The sequence below is a fragment of the Homo sapiens genome, chromosome 15 (assembly GCF_000001405.40).
Source record: "Homo sapiens chromosome 15, GRCh38.p14 Primary Assembly".
NCBI lineage: Eukaryota > Metazoa > Chordata > Mammalia > Primates > Hominidae > Homo > Homo sapiens.
In genome coordinates, this window is record NC_000015.10 from 61,707,503 (window position 1) to 61,729,179 (window position 21,677).

The 21,677-nt window shown below is 41.5% G+C and overlaps 1 long non-coding RNA gene across 1 annotated transcript in view; it reads right to left on the reverse strand.

Annotated features, from left to right (window-relative positions):
• The window catches only part of LOC107984782 (uncharacterized), a 208,325-nt gene extending 200,641 nt beyond the window's left edge, over positions 1 to 7,684 (reverse strand). Inside the window, exon 1 of the long non-coding RNA XR_001751569.2 lies at positions 7,613 to 7,684. This is a non-coding gene — a long non-coding RNA (uncharacterized LOC107984782). The remainder of the gene's footprint in view (positions 1 to 7,612) is intronic.
• Positions 7,685 to 21,677: the final 13,993 nt, after the last annotated feature.

Sequence of the window (21,677 nt, forward strand, 5' to 3'; positions counted from 1 at the left end):
CATTCTACGAGATGTATTTGGCTAGTATTCTTCAGAATGTCAAGATCATGAAAGATAAGGAAAAAGCAAGAAACTGTCCCAGATTAGAGGAGACTAAAGAGATAAAACAACTAACTGCAATAAATGATACTGGATTAAACCCTGGTCCAGGTAAAGGACACTAGGGGGACAATTGGAAAAATGCAAATAAGGCCTATAAATTAGTTAATAGTATTATATCAATGTTAATGTCTTCGTGTTGATGATTTTACTGTGATTATGTGAGACGTTACTATCTGCAGATGAAGAAGGATACGTTGGAATTCTCTGTACTATTTTTGCAACCTTTTGTAAGTATAAAATTATTACAAAATGAAAATTAAGAAATAAAAAGTACATTTAAAAGATCGCATATTAAAATTTCAGGAATACCACCAGAAAATAAAAACGAAGAAAATAGAGAAAATGAAAGCAATCCAACAGAAAACAGGAAGCAGGGTGGGTGTTGGGGTGGGAAGAAGCAAAGAAAAAGCTTGTTAAATACAAAACACAAAATGAAATAGCAGAAATAAGACCAAATACATCAGTAATCACAACAAATTAAATTCATTATTAAAAAACAGAGACACCTAGATGAATTTTTGAATCCAGCAATATTCTGTTTTGTTTATTTGTTTTTTGAGAGGGAGTCTCACTCTGTCACCCAGGCTGGAATGCAATGGCGGGATCTCAGCTCACTGCAGCCTCCACCTCCTAGGTTCCAGCCATTCTCCTGCCTCAGCCTCCCGAGTAGCTGGGATGACAGGCAGCTGCCACCATGCCTGGCTATTCTTTTTTGTATTTTTAGTAGAGACAGGGTTTCACCATGTTGGCCAGGCTGGTCTCGAACTGCACATTTAAAGCAAGGTTGAATATGAAGGAATTGATAAGTAAAATTTGAACAAAAAGGCATTAAAATATATATGTGATATACATATATATCATAAAGGAATATATTTCAAAATAATTAACGCTAGCTTTTATGACTAACAAACCTCTGATATCCCGGTGGGTTAATATAAAAAGATTCATTTCTCACTTACATATGGTCAGTATAAGTTAGGAGGCCTGGTTACATATTTTAGCTATGTCATTTGAAATGTAAGGCCTCCCAGATCACCATGGCAGGGGAGGAGAGAAATGAATGAGGCACTGCAGAGCCACACTTTTCCTCACAGTTTTGAAGAAGCACACTTTTCCTCACAACTCATTCTCCAGAACAGGTCACATGGCCCAACCTAAGAGCAAGAATGTAGAGTACTAACTCTCTCTACCACAAAGGGGGAACACCATGATGATAAAAGGGAAAAACCACCCAGGAGATATACCAGTCATGAATTGTGTGTGCCCAACAGTATCTGCTTAGGTAAAGCGAAAAATGACAGAATTACATTAACTTGACAAATCAACACAGATAGCAGGAATTTTTTCACACATTTATTAGTAAGCAATTGTATTAGTCCGTTCTCACATTGCTATAAAAATATACCTGAGACTGGGTAATATATAGATAAAAGAGGTTTAATTGGCTTAAAGTTCTGCAGGCCGTACAGGAAGTATAGCGGCCTCTGCTTCTGAAGAGACCTCAGGAAGCTTCCAATCATGGTGGAAGGCAAAGGGGGAGTGAGGCATCTCACATGGTGGGAGAACGAGCAAGAGAGACAAGGGAAGTGCTACACACTTTTAAATAACCAGATCTCATGACGACTTACTCGCTATCATGAGGACAGTACCAAGTGAGGTACTTCTTATGAGTGAGTACCACTCATAAGAAACCACCCCCATGATCCAGTCATCTCCCACCAGGCCCCACCTCCAACATTGGGGATTACAATTTGACATGAGATTTGGGCAGGGACACAGATCCAAACCGTATCAGCAATCAAGCAGACAAAAAAATTAGCAAAGGAATAGATTTGAACAGCACTAATGTCAATCTTGATCTAACAATGACACATAGAACCCAAGTGCAGAATATATATTCTTTTCACACACACATAAGTTGAGCACCTACTAGGTCATAAAGGTTGTTTTAGAAATTGCATAGACTCTACGTTAAAAAGAATTCACAAATCAACAACAAAATAATTAAAATAAAATTGAATAAAAAATCATAAATTTGGAAAGCAAAAATCACACATCTAGGTAACCAATGAGTTGTTTGTTTGTTTATTTGAGACATTCTTGCTCTGTCACCCAGGCTGGAATGCAGTGGCACAAACTCAGCTCACTGCAACCTCCACCTCCCGGGTTCAAGCGATTCTCCTGTCTCAGCCTCCAGAGTAGCTGGGATTACAAGCGTGTACCACTAAGCCCGGCTAATTTTTGCATTTTTAATAGAGATGGGGGTTTCGTTATGTTGTCCAGGCTGGTCTCGAACTCCTGACCTCAAGTGACCCACCAGCCTTGGCCTCCCTAAGTGCTGGGATTACAGGCGTGAGCCACCACACCCGGCCGCCAATGAATTAGAGAAAAAAGATCACAATGGAGGTTATAAAATATTTCAAACTGCATAACAATGAAAGCACTATATATCAAATTTATGGGAGTCAATGAAGACAAGAATTATAGAGAAATTTATAGTCTTAAATCCATGTGTTAAATTAAATATTGAAAATAAATGAGTTAAGTGTTCAAGAAGAAAAAGAAAACATTAAATTCAAAGAAAATAGAAAATAAATAAGAGTAAAAGTAATGGAAAAAATATTAATGATCTGCAAAATTAAAAGCTGCTAGTTACATTACTAATAGAAAAGGAAAATCTCAAGCAAGGATGCCCAATTAGAAAGAAAAAGGGATGAACTACACATACATAAAAGAATACTACAAAAAAGTGAATTCTTATAAATTCAAAAACTTAGATAACATGAAAAATTATATACAAGTATATAGATAAAAACAGAAATAGGTGTGTATACACAAACACACATAGATATACGTACGCATGCAAAATTTACCCAAGAAAACGTAAGAACATCTGAATAAACCAGTCACCATTAAGTAAACTGAATTGCTAGTCAATGTTTAGTTTTCCATATAGAAAGAGATAAAATTGAATACCCAGCTCATACTGTACACAAAAAAACTCCAGAAAAATTAAATGCCTATATGTAAAAAAATCCCAAACTTTTATAATTATCATAATATAATGTAAAATAATATGTTTAGGAAGTTAAAGACTAATATCTTAAGACCTCAAAAAAGCAAAAATAATAAAGAAACAAACTGATAAACTTGACTACATAGAGATTAAAATTTCTAAATTACAATACACAGCCAAACACACAAGTAACAAACTGGAAGAAGATATTTGCTGTGATATGGATTTGAATGCAGGATAAAATTCCTATAATCATTAAGAAAAAAGACAAATATACCATTAGAAAAATTAGTCAAAATATATGAACAAGCAATGCAAATTTTAAACTATAGGGTATCATCAGGTATAAGGTGTCATCAGGTAAGCTAAATAATACCAAATGTGGAAGAGAATATGAGGAAACAGTTCTCATACAGTGCTGGTAGGTGCATAAATTGATACAATCACTTTGAAGAGAAATTTCGTAATTAAAAATGTGACTATTTTTTAGTTCAACAATTTCATTCCTAGTCAAATATCTTCCAATCTCATCACACTCTCATCCTCCTGAAAAAGAAAGGCAAACCAAATCCAAATGACTTCACAAGTTATTTTATCAAACCCTAAAAAGAAAAGAAAACTCAGAGCATCTCATCCTACACTAACCAGTTTCAAGAAATTCGGGAAAAATGAAAAATTATCCTGTTCATTTTATATGATAACCTTGTTATAAAAGATAGGATAACTTTGATACCAAAACCAGAAATTCTCACGTCTTTATAAGAAGAATAGTACAAAAATGTTCACTGCAATATTATTTGAAATAGCCAATATTTACAAAATGGAAATTTCCATTGGTAAGGAAATGGACACATTATAGAATGTTCTCATTATGGACTACTATACAGCAGTTAAAATGAATGAACTACTACTCAGCCATAAAAAGGAACGAATTAATAGCATTTACAGCAACCTAGATGGAATTGGAGACTATTATTCTAAGTGAAGTAACTCAGGAATGGAAAATCAAACATCGTATGTTCTCACTCATAAGTAGGAGCTAAGCTATGAGGATACAAAGGCATAAGAATGACACAATGGACTTTGAGGACTCAGGGAAAGGGTGGGAACGGGGTGAGGAATAAAAGACTACAACTTGGGTTCAGTGTATACTGCTTGGGTGATGGGTGCATCAAACTCTCACAAATCACCGCTAAAGAATTTATTCATGTAACCAAATACCACCTATTCCCTAAAAACCTATGGAAGTGAAAATTTTTTTAAAAAATTACATGAACTAGAGCCATGTGTATCAACATAGACTGCAAAAACACAAAAATGAGAAAAAAAAAGAACACTGAAGTTGGTATATTTGTGTAAAACAATAGGTAGCTACATATTCTATAAATGCACGCGCACACACACACACACACACACATACACACACACCACACCACACCAAATATACTTTAGTGGAGAGGAAAGGAGGAGAATGAAATCGGGGAGGGGTACAATAAGCTTCGACTTGGCTGGAGAAAAAAGTGAAAGATTAAAACAAAACCAAGTTTTCTCTGACTCTTTCTGCCCAGGCCAGTGCCCCTAGTCAGGGCCTTCCCCAGGATACCAGTTCAGGAACAGCATTTTCTTTCACCAAATTTGAATCACTTGCACATATTGCATCATCGGTAAATCAGCCAGCATCCCATAGGGCACTTTGATGCAGCCAAAATATTTTAAGTTTCCCATCCTTCTCCCTTTCTAAAGACCAAAAGACTACAGCTGGCTTCCCTGGCTTCTGGCAGCCATGAGAATTCTTTTATTATTGCCTGGGACCCCGGCAAACAAACATCTCTAGTCTTCTCTTTCCTTTTCAGGCTCTGCATTCATCTTCCGAGACCTGACCACATACAAAAGTTAGTGTTCCCTGCTTCTCCTTGGAGGGCCCTGTGCCTTGATGGAAAATTCCTTCTGGACAGTACAGCATAGAATTCAGAGTGCAGTCTCTAGAGGCCTACTCTGTCTGTGTCTGTGTGGGCAAGGCACCTCACTTTTATGTGCCTCAATTTCAGCCTCCATGAAACGGAAATAAAAATAGGACCTCCTGGGAAATGTTTTGGGGAGCTTAAGTAATAAGAGCTCACCTTTGGTACATGCTTGCTCTGTGTCAGTTACCAAGCTAAATGCTCCACCTGTCTTATCTAGCCCTCTCAACAATGCACTAAGGTAGACATTTTTGTCTCTCCTTTCAACAGATGGAGAAATGAAAATACTCTGTCTAAAGTCACACAGTCAGAAAGCAGTTTTGGTTTTGGGTCTTTGACCATTATGCTACATTGCCTCCCTGTGTGAGGGAGATAAGAAGAATCTCATGCAGTACTTCACAGAGTGCTTGGGATACAGAAAACACTCTACAAGTGTTAGATGTTGTAGTTGAGAGTCATACTCAGGCTATGCAACATATAAACACAAAGCTTAACAGAAGTTTCCAGGCCCCGTCCACCAAGTGGGTCGCTGACCACGACTCACTCCTGAGGAACAAACCTGTGAGAGAGATCTGCTTATGAAAGGAAGCGTAAGACAGGTAAGAGAGCTGTCTATTTTCATCACCATGGCTCTGCCCCCGCAAACCCATTCCATGAGCTTTCTGGCAGTAAGGATCACAGCCCAGCAATGAGCATCTGCCTTAACTTGCTTGTTTCATAGGCTTTAGTCATCTAAGCTTCATAATACTGCAAGCTCTTCAAAGGTAGCGACTTATGTATCACCTCCTCCCTGTCCACCTCAGCCCCTGTTTTCACTGATGCTTGTTTTGTCTTAAATCAATAAATGGTTAGATTATTTAGAGATAAGTTGTTTCAACCTACAAGACTGAGAATCTATGGAAAGAGTTGAATTTTTGAAGCAAGGAGCCAGCTGGGATGCTGCTTTGGTGTCTGTGGAACCTGAAGAACAAAGTAATACGAAATTCCTCCCTAAACTAACTGATCGATAAATAGAGAACACTTACATCAATTTCAGTATGCTCACATAAAGGAATATTATACAATCAGTAAAAATTACAGTTATAAACAAGAGGGTTTTTTGTTTGTTTGTTTTGAGATAGGGTCTTGCTCTGTCACCAGACTGGAACGCAGTGGCTCAATCTCAGCTCACTGCAACCTCTGCCTCTTGGGTTCAAATGATTTTCATGCCTCAGCCTCCAGAGTAGTTAGAATTACAGGCACACACTACCACACTCTGCTAATTTTGGTATTTTTAGTAGAGACAGGGTTTCTCCATGTTGCTGAGGCTGGTCTGGAACTCCTGGCCTCAAGTGATCCACTTGCCTTGGCATCCCAAAGTGTTGGGATTACAGGCATGAACCACCCACACCCGGTCAAGAGCTTTTAATAATCAATGTTAAAGCAAACTAAATATGGCCTGAGAAGGACTCTGTACTTCTATATTTGAGCCCTTCTGGATGAACTGTAACTTAGCCTAATAGTCTGACAAAATTGACAACCTAACTTAGTAATATGCACCTGTAACAATGACTGAGTATTGGCCACTCCCAATGGCTATACTTCAACCACTCAAAGACTAGTGAATGTTCAAACTGTTCAAATAAGGCAAACGCAGTGCTGTAACCAATCTCACTCTTTCTGTACCTCATTTCTAATTTCTGTATGTCACTTTACTTTTTTTGTGTATAAATTTGTTCTGACCACGAGACACCCCTGGAGTCTCTGAATCTGCTGTGATTCTGGGGGCTGCCCAATTCACGAATCATTCATTGCTCAATTAAACTCTTTTAAATTTAATTCGGCTGAAGTTTTTCTTTTATCATAGAGAAGAATGTTTATAATATAATGTTAAGTGGAAACGTAGGATACATAATTACATATAAAATGCAATCTCAGCTATACAGAACATAAGCACAGAAGAAACAATGGAAGGAAATAATGGTAAATTCACAGTATTTGTCTGAATGGTGAGATTCTGAGTGATTTGTACTTTTCCTTTAGACTTTTCTGTGCTGTTAAAATTTTTACAATAAGCATTTACTTATTGTATTAACTGAAAATGTTAACTTTTCAAATGGTTCCTTCATAGAATGCAGCTTCCTAGGCGCACTGGCACCTCCTCTTGTCCCTCCACCAAAGACGGTGAAAGAATAGAGTCTGAAAGCTTGATCTGGGCTTTCAGTCTCCCAGCCACTGGTTAGAGGAGCTTGGATGAGCTCTTGTAAGCCTCAGTTTCTTCTTTAGATAAATAGGAATATAGGAATAACAGCTCCTCCTTACCCAGATATTGTAAGGACCACCTGTGATGGAACAGAAGTGGAAGCACTTTGTAAATCCAAGTACCATCTAAACCTTAGCTGGTTGTATTTGCTCTGCTGTGATAGCACAGTTTTTTACTATTGCGCCCCCGCCCCCAACACATACACACACACACACACACACACACACACACACACTTTGACTCATACATGCCTTTCCACCTCAGCATGCTTTTGTGGGAGAGAACACTTACCATGGCTGCCTTTTATCTACTCCTGTCCCAGGCCACACACTGCTAGTCTCACCTCTCCACTGGCCTGCTGCTGAGGGGCCCAGAGCCACACCTGCTTATCTTGGGTGGTAGCAGTTGGGGGTGGTTACTGTTGGAACAGAAGAAGGGTGACATCATCCTGGGTGCTGCCCATGAAGTGACCACAGGGCAGGGGCAGCCAAAGGCAAGTGCAGAAAGAAAAGCAAACACAGGAAAGGAAGCACCAGAGTAGAGAGCAGGGAGGGCAACATTTCAGGAATTGCAGCTGCTATAGCTCTAGGTTCCCCATAGGGACCTGCCAGTTCTGGACACAGAGAAAGCTTTGTTGCCCATCTGGTTGACTTCTCAAGATCAGCCCTGTTGATCAGAGCTCAACACACCATCCAGAGCAACACCTTAATGAACTGTAGCTTTTTATAGCCCTTATATGTTGTAAAATATTTGGACACATATTTTCTCTCTTGATCCTCACAACACTGCTGTGAGAAGTGTATCTTCTCCACCCAAATCCTGGATAATTGAAGTGCATTATCCAAGGTTATGCATTCTACTACCAATAATCCAGTTGTGTCTTAGCTAATCTAACTGTGCCTGGTGCTAATTCTTCTAGTCTCCAGGTGACTAATATCTTGCTATGTAAAGACCCAGCTCTGTTTTTTCTTTTAATAAATTGTAGGAATTATATATAATACTTAGAGTTGGCCAATCACAGTGGCTCACACCTGTAATCCCAGCACTTTGGGAGGCCGAGGTGGGTGGATCACCTGAGGTCAGGAGTTCAAGTCCAGCCTGGCCAACATGGGGAAACCCCATCTCTACTGAAAAAAAAAATATACAAAAAATTTGCTGCACTTCGTGGCAGGAGCTTGAGGCAGGGGAATCACTTGAACCCAGGAGGCAGAGGGTGCATTGAGTAATTGTGTCATTGCGCTCCAGCCTGGGCAACACAGTGAGACTAAAAAAAAAAAAAAAGAAAAAAAAAGGAGTTATTCATACATTTCCATAGTTATTAAGAGCCCACAGTGCATCAAACACTGTTCCTTGCAATACAGGGTTGGAAGAATAAGGATGAATTATACAGGACTGGTATCTCACTTTCTTTCTCTTTCTCTTTCTTTACAGCAAAAATACATCTGTCAAATCTCTCTCGTCTCTACCCCTTCATTATCTCTCTCTTGGACTGTTTCAACAGGCTCATAAGTGGTCTGCCAGCCTGCAGCCCTGCCCTGTGCTTGTCTATCTTTTTATAGCCGCTCAGGGCCATCCCTAACCCTCTGGGTTAGCCCTCCACTTGTTCCATATGGCTGCAGGATAAAAAACAAGATCTTAAGATGGGCTGCAGGGGTCCCTCTGGGTCTGTGTCCTCCCTTAGCCCCCATGTCTTTTCCATTCTCCCTGCACTTTAATACTGCCCTGCTGGTAGGTAACCACTCCCAGGCCTCCAACACAGCTGCCTTTGTCCATTCCCAGCCTTTGCGAACACAACTTTCTGTGCCTGACATACTCCTTTCTCAGTCTTGCCTAGCAAATCTCTATTTAGCCTTTACAACAAAGCTCAGATGGTCCCTTCTTCTAGAATACATTTCTGGTAGTCTTCCCTGACTCCCAGCAGCCCTCATCTCCTATGTGGAGTTAACTCCTTGTCACGTTACACTATAAACCTTTTATTATTATTATTATTATTATTATTATTATTATTATTATTATTGTTGTTGTTGTTATATTTTCTAGTCAGAGTCTCACTCTGTCACCCAGGCTGGAGTGCAGTGGTGCGATCTCAGCTCACTGCAACTTCTGCCTCCCAGGTTCAAGCAATTCCCTGGCTTCAGCCTCCCTAGTAGCTGGGACTACAGGTGCGTGCCACCATGCCCGGCTAACTTTTTGTATTTTTAGTAGAGATAGGGTTTCACTATGTTGGCCAGGCTGGTTGCAAACTCCTGACCTCAGGTGATCTGTACTCCTTGGCCTCCCAAAGTGCTGGGATGACAGGTGTGAGCCACCTCACCTGGCCCATATAAACATTTTAAACCTGTTTGTCTATCCTTCCAGATGAATCCGCTAAAGAGGTTATAGTCACATCTTAACACCTAGCTCACAGCCTGCCTGGCACATAGTAGAGACTCAATAAATAGTTTTAAATTGGATTAATTGAATGGAGAACAAACTGTATTTTTAATCATAACTTACTCCCCACCTAAGAAGAAAAATCTTCTGTTGTCTTCATATGTCCTTTAGCCTGGCGGGGAGCAGGGAGGAGGAGGGAGCTTGTGATTCCACAGGCGCTGTGGTTTGAATGTTCATGTCCCCTCCAAAATTCATGTTGAATAAGAACATGGTAATATTAAAATATGGTGTAATATTTCATTGTAATACAGGGCCCAGCTGACAATGTTTCAACTTTACCATAATGTAAAAGTGATATGCATTCAGTAGAAACTGTACTTAAAGTAACCATACAACCATTCTGTTTTTTACTTTTAGTACAGTATCAATAAATGACATGAGATAGTCAACACTTTATTATAAAATAAGCCTTGTGTTGATGATTTTGCCACCTATAGGCTAATGTAAGTGTTTTGAGCACATGTAAGGTAGGCTAGGCTAAACTATACATGTTTGATAGGTTACACGTACTAAATGTATTTTTGACTTAATATTTTCAACTTACAATGGGTTTATCAGGACATAACGCCATTATAAGTTGAGGAACATCAGAAGTATTAAGAGGTGGGGCCTTTAGAAGGTGATTAGGTCATGAGGGTTCCTGTCTCATGAATGGGATTAAGACCTTTATAAAAGAGGCTTTCTGGCCAAGCACAGTGGCTCATGCCCGTAATCCCAGCACTTTGGGAGGCTGAGGTGGGTGGATCACCTGAGGTCAGGAGTTTGAGACCGGCCTCACCAACATGGTGAAACCCAGTCTCTACTAAAAATACAAAATTAGCTGGGTGTGGTGGCGCATACCTATAATCCCAGCTACTTGGGAGGCTGAGGCAAGAGAATTGCTTGAACCCGGGAGGCAGAGGTTGCAGTGAGCCAGGATCATGCCACTGTACTCCAGACTCTGTCTCAAAAACAAAACAAAAAAAAGCTTTCTATCACATTTGCCATTTTTGTCCTTACATTCCTTTTGTCACGCGAGGGCACAGCATTCATCCCTTCTGAAGGATACAGTAACAAGGCACCATCTTAGAAGCAGAGTGCGGGCCCTCTCCAGACACCAAACCTGCTGGCTCCCTGATCTTGGACTTCTCAGCCTCCAGAACTGTGAAAAATACATTCTATTTTTTAAATAAATTATCCAGTCTATTCTATTGTGTTACAGCAGCACAAATGGACTAAGACAACATATTATCAGTTTTAATGTATTAATCTTAAAACCATTCCTTATGCTCATCCATGTTCATTACATGTTTGTTGAAAGTAAATTTTGTGTGTATGTATATGGATTTTAATTATGTGGATTTTGTGAATTTTTAATCTTGTGAATTTTGTGAAAGTGAATTTCTGTGTGTGTGAATTTCAAAAAACAGTAGTTTTTGAACATCTACTACCAGCTCTGCCCTAGGGGGTACACAGCAGGATTAAACATGCTCTCAACCTGCAAGGAGACAAGGCTGTCCTCGAGAATAGGATGTGAGCACTTGGGCAGGAGAATGCTGGAGCCAGAAGTCCAAGTATGGGGAAGAATGAACAGTAAAGAGGAACCACTGAATCCAGTGGGGGACAGACAAGCTATCTCGGGGATAGGAAGGTAGGGCCAAGAACAAAAACTCAAGCCTTGAGTCCTGGGCTCCCTGAGGTCTAAGCAGAGGAAGAATAACAGCCCTCTAGAGTAGAGTACAAATTGCAGCTTAAAGGTCAGAGGCAGAAAAGACAATCACATTGGACAGTAAGAGATTCTCTAAGGGCAGTCTGGTTGGGCTCTAACTATCAAGAGGCAGGGGCCATTTCTACAACTCCTTCTATAACTCAATAAGTACTTTTCCACTGTTGAATTTTCACCAACTGATTGACAAGAAGACATGAACAGGCTGGGAGCGGCCCTTAAGCCAGAGCAGATCCATTTCTTTCCATCAAGATAAGAACAGGAGGAGGGGCAATTCTCCACCCCTGCACCTCCAAAGTCAGCTCCCTGGGTGCTATCAAGCACCACCACATCAGTATTCCAACCCCAGAGTCCCTCCAAATACCCATGTAAACATTCATTTACATTTAAATTGTGCTTCTCTGGATTCAGACTCTTTTCTCTGAAAACTCTAACAATCCAATTGTCAAGAAAACCAACATGTCATTTCTAAGCCTGGTGGTAGAGACCTTCTCCTCCCCCAGGAAACCCCTTGTTCAGCAGGAAGCAGCTTCAGGTGTCCCTGTCTGGATGGGTTTAGTCAGCATCCCAGCACACTCAAGGACGATCCTGAAAATATCTGTGCTCTTCAGTAGGGAAGGATGAGGGTCAAGGAAGTGTGCTAGCAAACCATTGCATTCATTTTAATGGGTAGAGAGAGAAGGGTAGTCAAGGAAAACTTTAGAGAAGAAAAGCCTTGTAAAAACTGCTGGAGGTGCTGGAAAGAGCTCTGCTCTGGAAGTAGAGCTGGCTTTGAATCCCAGCGTGGTGGCTTCTTAGCTTTCTGAGCTTCAGTTCTTCTACATCTCTATACAGCAAGGTCAAAGGGTTTCAATGACCTGGGCTAATATGTGCTTTCTACGGGTCTTGATGATTAAATGAAGCAATGTATATGAATATCCCTGGCACAAAGTAGACATTCAGGAAATGCTTTTCCCTTCCTTGTGAAGGCTGGGAATGCTGATTGGTAGAAAGCAAGAGATAAGCACCCTCCTAGGAGGAAGGGACCAAACCATCAGGCAAACCATGGAGGGCTGGGCAGTGAAGGAATTTGCTTGTCAGTTTAATGCCTTGAAATTTACTCAACTCAGTGAATACGGGGCTTCTTTGATCAGATCTTGGACTAAGAGTTCAAGGGCTGAACCAAAGGACAAAAGAAGGGGAAGAAAGCACTTCACCCAGCATGTGATTAATATGAAAAATGGGTCAAGCCTAGGGATGCGCTAAATCTATTCCCTCTGCAGTATCAGTGGGGTGTCCCCTTCCTACTTACTAGAAACTAAACCAAGTCAAAGGAAGAAAATTGAGAAAACAAAGAAAGGGCTAGGAGAAAAACAATTAACACAAGCACTTCAGGTTCTGCATACACGAGTCAGAACTCCCACACTCAAGCAGGCCTTGGTGTCATAGATTCCAGATTGCAACTTTAGCACACAGCCAAACTATTAGGTCAGTCTTCTTGAGGATCTCACATGGCTAAGGAGTATTCTTTCTAACAGATATTTAAAACCCAAATGCTTTCAACAACCTTCAGCCAATATCAGCATAGCATCTGGTTGGCCAAGATGCCTTCATGTACCCACCTCTTGTCAGCCAGCCCGACAATCACCTTCGGTGGAAGGAAGAAGAATCCTTCTCACTAGATATTTTGGGAGTGGGTTAGATGAAGAAATTGGGACACAGCGAAGAACCTGGCCAAGAAGCATGAAAAGCTGATATTATTACTGTTCTCCTTGAATGTGATGTTGAAACCTGTCCCATCTCAGGGTGCTCATTTCCTCATTAGTAAAACAAAGATGTTACCCATGTAGCTCACACATGTCTGGGCCAGGAGTAACAGGGGCTTACATCCATGTAGCCCCCAAGCATATTGACATCCTTTTTTTTTTTTTTTTTTTTTTAAGACCTTCACAATATTGTTGAAAGGAAAGCCGGGAAAATGGCAGTTTCTCCCCTTCACAGCTGAGGCATCTGAAATTCAGAGAATTTAAGTGTCTTCTGAAGAGCAAGTCAGGAGTAGAACTGGCCCCAATCCCAATGCCCATTCCACTCCAACCCACTGCCAATTTTTTGCTATAAAAATGCAATTGATTGTAAAGTATTCATAAAATATGGTGTTTCTTTTTATATAATTTTATTGTTTCTCATTTTAACCAAAGTATTGCATATTCATCATAGAAAATTTAGAAAGAACAAATAAGTAAAGGGAAGAAAATCATGATTACCCATAACTTCACTGAAATATAATGTTGTTTGAAGAACAAGTAAAAAGACAATATGCCACTGTACTAATCACCTAATATTCAATCCTGAGATCACCAAAGATGATAGGGTTCAACAGTTACATCGGGCAGCAACCAGAGACTGTGCTCTTGGGGAGAGAGACGCTCATGAGGGGAGGGGTGGCAGCAGTTAAAGGAAAAAGTAGGGTCAGAGTTTTAATGCAGACAGATCCGTATGCTGTGGGGAAAGGCCAGTGGAGAGGGACGCAGCTGCTCCTCCAACAGGGAAAGGAGAAGACAGCTGGAGTGACCCCCCTCTCAAGAGGTAGGGCCCATGTGGAGAAACAGCACCACTGACTTTTTGTCCATATTATCAGGCCAGGCACAGGGTGGAAGAGGGGAGAGATGGTGACGGGTCTCTGGAAGTTCTTTACTGATTTCCTCCTTGTGAAATTGTTTTCTTTAGCGATGTAGAAGGCAAGGTCTATCTGAAAGTGTAAGGAAGATATCTGAGGGTTTCAGGAGACAAGGAGAGAGTAGAAACAGTTGTCTCCAAGAAAGAGAGAAAAAACAGCAGTGAGGGCTCTGGTGAAGACCTCAATTTGGTCTTATGTTTTCTCCAGCTGCACAGGCATAGCCTTGGAGTAGATAATGAGTTGGATATCATCAGCCTTGTGGCTAAGCAAGCCAGAATGAAGAACCAGGAGAGAAACTAGGAAGGTGGAGGTGTGCAAAGGAAGTGAAATGGTAAGGAAAAAATAGAAGGCTTCTGGAAATTTCGAGAGAGACATAATGTTGGTGGATTCATGGCTAATAGGTGAAGAACGGCTATTGGAGCTGGTGTAGAAAAGCATGTGAGCTAGAAAGAGAGAAGGAGTGGTCAGGAGATGTTTAAAATTGTGATTGCTGGCGGCACTGCAGTTATTAGTAATGACAAGGTCTAGGCTTTGACCTTGAAAGTGAGCAGGTGAATTAGGGTAGGATAGAATCATCAGCAAGACAAGATCAGGGAATTGAGAGGGCCTAGAAAAATAAAGATTATTTAATTCACTTTAAAAAATGTATTGGGAGCATCATGTATATTTATAATGAAATTACCAAGAATTAAGATGGAATAGTGTTGGAGACTGTAAAGTGACACAGAACTTAAATTGTGGAGAAAATGTGGTAGCGACCCAAAGATAAGGAGATGGCTTTGCACTATACATTACTGGGTATTGGATCTTGGAACCCTGACATTCAAAAGCACTTATATGTGAGGTTACTTAATTTGTCTTTTTGTTTGTTTGTTTAAGACAGAGTCTCACTCTTTTGCCCAGGCTGGAGTGCAATGGCACGATCTCAGTTCACTGCAACCTCTACCTCCTGGTTACAAGCGATTCTAGTGCCCGAGCCTCCTGAGTAGCTAGGATTAAAGGCATGCACTACCATGCTGGGCTTATTTTTGTATTTTTAGTAGAGACAGGGTTTTGCCATGTTGCCCAGGCTGGTCTTGAACTCTTGGCCTCAAGCGATCTGCCCGCCTCAGCCTCCCAAAGTGCTGGGATTATAGGCATGAGCCACAGCGCCCGGCCTGATGTGACTTAATTTGAAATTATTTAGGAATAGAAATTTTTTTCCAATGGATTAAAAAAGCAAATAAATGAGCAAAGAATATAAAATCTTAAAATGTATACATTCTCAGCATCCTCTGTTGAAGAAATTCCATCGTTTTAAGGTGTAGAGCTTCCTCGGAAGAGTAATGAGTTTGGTTACTGCAGACATTTAAATTGCTGGTGATCACCCTGAACTAGTGGAAGTTTTGTTAGAACAGGTCAATTTCCTTTAAAATGTAGGGGTTTTTGTTTGTTTGTTTGTTTGCTTGCTTGTTTCTTGTTTTGTTTTTGAGACAGAGTCTTGCTGTGTCGCCCAGGCTGGAGTGCAGTGGCGTGATCTTGGCTCACTGCAGACTCCACCTTCTGGGTTCAAGCGATTCTCGTGCCTCAGCCTCCCCAGTAGCTGGGATTACAGGTGTGTGCTACTACACCTGGCTCAGAGGAGATGCTTCCTTTTTTTTGCTTTTTGTTTTTTTTTTTTTTTTGCTTTGTTTTGTTTTTTGAAACAGAGTCTCACTCTGCCACCCAGGCTGGATTGCAGTGGTGAGATCTTGGCTCACTGCAACCTCCGCCTCTCAGGTTCAAGTGATTCTCGTGCCTCAGCCTCCTGAGTAGCTGGGACTACAGGTGCCTGCCATCCCACCCAGCTAATTTTTGTACTTTTAGTAAAGACAGGGTTTCACCATATTGGCCAGGCTGGTCTCAAACTCCTGACCTCAGATAATCCACCTGTCTCAGCCTCCCAACATGCCGGGATTACAGACGTGAGCCACCGTGCCCAGCGGGAGATGCTTCTTAAACTCAGATGTGGAGGGTGAACATGAGGACAAACTTGCAAAAACATGCCAGGGAATATCATTACAAAGATGTAAGAGTAACAGACTTAGAAGTTCAGAGAGTGACAACTAGCTCCCAGCACGTTGAAGAGAAGATACCATGAGGATAGGTAAAAGAAGAGTCTAGAACAGTAGTTCTCAATCCTTAGCTTGCAATAGCAACAACTAGGTTGCTTGTTGAAATGCAGGTCTCTCCCGATCTGATGCACGCCAGCTTACTACTTCACGAACTCCTCGTCTAAAGAAGTAGACAATGCCAGCGCACGATGGGCTCGGGGCATGGTACAGAGCTTAGATTTTAATCTCTACAAGATGGGAAATTATTGAAGCATTTCTCACCAAATGTACCAGAGGAAAAACAAGTGTGTCTTCATGGCTAAATGTATTTCAAATCCACATTTTCCCCCTCTTAGCCTAAGCAAGGAGCTTTCCAATATTCCAGGAAACTATAACCTTCCTTAGTATCATTAACAGACATTAGAAATAGGATCCAGCCCACAGGAGGTTCCTAATAAATGCTAAATAAATAAATAATAAGTAAATAAAATGTAATAGGGTTTATATAATACTGTCACCTCCACTCAATATCATTCCAAACTTAATATTGCTTTCTTTTAAAGGCCTTATATATTCCTAAAGTTCCTTTTCAAACTCTAAACCCATTCAGAAAGCCTTTGGATTCAGCATGCCTTCCTTCACCAAATTTATAGGAAGGACAATCTTGAGCCATCTGGTGCCTATTTAATTTTTAACCACCTCTCCCTTGAAATATTTCTTTCTTCATTCTTATTTTGTCCTAAAAACTTGGCTATGAGCTAAACTGCACCATCTGTGACTTCCAGTAAATACAACTGTTGCTAATGAAATTACCCAGTTTCATCATTTTGATTTAAATGCCTTGCCTGTTTTTCTTCTGACCTTTCGTTGCTTGCCATCAAACTCAAGCTTTTGTGAATTCAGATACATACGTCCATGTAGGTCAGTCTTGAGGAATAAATCTTCTCTGTGAAGCACAAGAACCTGGGCCAAGCCCGCTCAGCAGGCTGACATGGGAGGTGGGGGCCGGGGCTGTGCAGAGAAATATAGATGGCACTTGTGCCCGTCCGCTCAATGTGCGCAGGGCCCCAGGGCAGACCCCCGCCATGTGACCAAGTGGCCACTCGGTCTGGCTCTCCGGCCTCCCATTTGTTAGGATGCTGACGATATTAATGAGTTGGGGTGTTGGAGCCCATTCCTTGGCCTTTGGTGTCGGTTCCTCCCTGCACAGGAGTGCCTGACCTGATTGAAGAAAAGGAAAGTTCAGAGATTCTAAACTTTGCCCAAGTGGAGGGAAGGCCTTCCAGAAAAGGAGATACTTTTGAAGAAATCAGGTCCTTTCACTGCCCAGGACAATGCTTTCATTTAGGTAGCAAACCACTGTCTTTATCATGGCCCCATCAAGGGAATAAAAGAGAATGAAATAGACATTCGTCCATCAAGTCATTCAGTCATCAAATTGTTATCAGTACTATTGTCAACTATATCAGATAATTAAATAGTGGAGGGTATTATTAGTACTTGCATTAGCTAACATTTATTGAGTCTTCACTGTGTAGCACGCACTGTGCTATGCCCCTTACCTAATCAGTTCATTTAATCCTCATAACAATCCTATGGCTGGGAACTGTTATTATTCCCACATGACAGTGAAGAAGTGAGGCTTAAAGAGGTTAAGCCACTTGTCCAGAGTCCCACAGATTCTAACTCATGCTCATAAACTTGCTGCTTTATTACTTTGCATTTACTGGTGCTCTCTTGCTTGCCAGATACTGTGCTGGGAACTGGGGATGCAAAAATGACAACGATGTAGTCCTTGCCCACTTTCCAGGGAAGCAAGAGATAAAAATGCAAATACACCATCTGAGTGAAGCTACAACAAAGTAGGAAAAATATTCTGGGGTCGCAGAAAGAGAAGGGATTCTGTCTGGGGAAGCCAAGGAAAGATTCACAGCAAGGAGACATGAGATCTAGGTTCGAAGGGAGATGGCAGCCCTGGCAGAAGGAAAGAGGCATCCAAAGGAGTGGAAGTGTATGAAAAGCGAGCCAAGGGGAAGCAGCTTCTGCGGGGGTGGGGATGGGTGGGAGGGTTAAAGGACTGGGAGGTGTCCTTGCCCAGACTGAAGAGACTCGGATGGTGGGGGGAGTCAGCCCCACAACTTTACACCAAAACTGTCTGTCACTGGGTCTCTACAATCACCAGAGGGTGGGGTGGAAGTGGGGTGGAAGGTAGGGATGGAATAGAAGGTGTGTCCAAGGCAGCCCAGCACATCTGGCTAGCATTTAGCCTAAGAAGCAGCAGGACTCACCTTTCATTACTGAATTTTCATTAGCCTTAAGGACTCACCCACACCCTCAAGGTGGTTAAACACTCAGGACAGTGAGGAGATACCCAACAGGCCCAAAGGGGGTTAAGCTGTAGCCCCACATCTCCCCGATTATCCTCTATCTTCACTTTAATCTCTGCCTCTCTTCTAACATCAGGATGCTGCTCCTAATGACAAGGAAGGAGATCTGTAAGTAAAAGCTGTTTTTAGTTCCACCGATAGTAAAGATACGTTCATTCTCTGTGTGTTGTCAATGTAGTATGACTTCGGTGAAGACAAAATCTCCACAATCCCAAACGCACCCCCACTGATTCTATCATCACTTTCAACATCGCTTCCTTCTTAGGACCAGGCTTTAAAGGCTAATGCTGATAAGAGAACCCTACCGGGGAGGGCTGACACCAGGAACAACTTCATCAGGAGCATGCAGCAGATCAGCCAATCTCCTCCTAGGGCCCTGGGGAAAGGGATAGGTGGGACCAAAAAAGCTTTGTTGTCCCGGAACAAGGGTCAGTAAACATTTTCTCTAGAGGACCTGACAGTAAATATTTTAGGCTCTGTGGGCCACTTGGGTCTTTGTCACAACTACATAACTCTGCTGTTGCAGCATCAACACAGCCATGGACAACGTGTGAATGAATGAATGAATGAATGTGACTGTGCTCCAATAAAACTTTATTTGCAAAAATTGGGCATGCAGGCTAGATTTGGTCCACTGGCCATAGTTTGCTAACCACTGAGACAGGTCAATGGGCACCTGCACAGAGAAATAGGATGCCAATCTGAAAAGAGCTCATGGGATGCTCAAAGTGGGATCTACCTAATTAATTTGGTTGCGGTCAGCCCCCAAACATGTTACAGCTCCCCGAGGGTGCTCCTGGGAACAGTCCCCTTTTCTGACCTCCAAAACACATCCTCAGTGTCATCCTGGCTTCATTCCTCATTTTCAATTAATCCAATCTACCACTAATGCTGTGGGGTGATAGCATTTTCAATTAATCCAATCTACTGCTATTTCCTCCAATGAAATCTCTAAAACCATATAAAGCTCAGGAGCTTAAGAAATATGTTCATAGTTATCTACACAGAAGTAACTGACAAAGCCAGGACTGAAATCAAGTATGTCAGACACTAAAAACAGATGAATATCCTCACTGCATCTTTACTTTCCAAAAGCCCCTGGGAAATATGTTTGGCATAAAGCCGTCCATGGCAGCCTTACACAGCATCTCTGGGAACCCTTCCCAATGACCCTCACCTTCTGTACTCATAGCTGGACCCCCTGCCGACCCCAAGGGAGATACTCAAGAAATAAGACCCGTTTTTAAATATAAGTGCAGGTGGTTGTGGGTGCTGGGATTCTAGGCATGCAGTCAAACTGTACTAAGTAAATAGATAAGTCAGAATGTGAGCTTTTAAATCAAAGGTGTGAGTTTAAAAGTAACTTTATAAGAAAGTTAAATCAAAAGTTAAAGTAAAATTTTTATATTAAGAGCAGGGTCTGAAACAAGTGTCTATGGGTCAGCAGGAGAAAAAAACTATTATTTTATAATAGCTGAACTTTAATGATACACACGTGGTCAACTAATGAAAATGTTTGAGGTGGCTTAAACATACATGTAAGTGATTAATACAGGGGTAAAAGAATTAGCTTAAGTAGCAAAAGGGGAGAGATGCTTGAACCATGCTGCCAGAGAGTTCATGATCACATGAGGTAATCACAATCGCTTAGGCCTCAACAACACTGTTCTCTCTGGCGCAAAACTCTAAAGCTGTGGCCCTCAAAACTTAGGGTGCCCAAGAATGACCTGGAAGGCCTACGTTAAACAAATGACTGGGATCCCTCTGCAGATTCTGACACAGTAGGTCCTGCCTGGAACCTAGAAATCATTGTTTTCAACACACATTCCTGGTAGTTTTGATGAAGATGGTTTAGTGATCATCTATGAGAAATGCTGATTTTCGAGAACTTCATGGCAGGCTCTCTGAACAACACAATCATCATCATTATCTCTAGAAGAAACTTAAGCAAAGAAATATTCTTTGAGTGACTTCTCAAAAAGCTCAATCCTTGGTAAAACATGGAGGACAGAGGATTCTATCACTGCCCTGGGAGGATGTTTCCATCAGGAACTAAGGAAGTTTAGTGCAGATATTACCTTTCTGGTAATCCCACCCTCTTCAGAGATGGAGCTTGGAGAGCCTAGGAGAATGTATGGTTGGTTTCAGATCTTCATGTTGGGTCTCCACGTTGCCTCCAGAAGAGTGATTCAGTCTGGCATCTCTCCACAATATAAGGCCACATGCTTCCCAACTGGATGGTCAAGACATTGGGGTCACAGGGTCCTCTTTCTCCTCTACTCTTTACATCTTGCCATAGCCCCTAATAAATCTAATTCCTCTAAGCACCACTCTGCTCTCCCCTCTGAATGCCTACTGCTCCGGGTGTCCTCTGTGTACCCTAGTCTCTCCCTAGCCCACCTCTCTGTGCCCAAGAGACAGAGCACAAGGATCCCACCAACACCTCCTGTGCCTTCTAAGCTCTGGGTTCCCTTTCTACTGGGTCAAAGGGTGGCACCAGCTGCAGTTATTCCTCTGCCAAAGGCCAGGGTTCTGAATGGCCATCCTCTCCGGGTTGTAGTGACCGCCCTCTCCTGTCCCTCTGCAAGCCCAAGAGGTAACAGTTCCCCCACTGATTTTAGCCCTAGGGTAGGGCACTTCCTTTGGTGGTGGTCTTTCACCTTACTCATGCTTTTGTAAATAGTCCTGCTCCTCAATTTCCCCATGCTATGAGCATGGAAAGAGAGATGAAGCTATACTACCCAAGAAACAAAAAGGGACCTACTTCACAGTAATTAAAGAAACCCTCATGTATCCAGGAAAGGTAACAATATTATTATGTAGAAAGGGAGCAACTGAAAACAAAATCATTAGCGGAACTTCATGCCACAATTCTAGCAACTATCCCTGCTTCTGTGTGTCTAGGCTTTAAATGAGATAATTAATATAAGAGCATATTAAATCTTATTTTTAAAAGGGTTAAAAGTAGTAAATACCTAAAGGAGTGAATCGTGTAAGCAAAACCAATTTTTCTCATCTGTAAAACTAATTATTTTTATTATTATCCTTCAATTTGAACAGTTTACCAGGTGCTCTTAAATGTGTCTTCTTATTTGATGTGTCC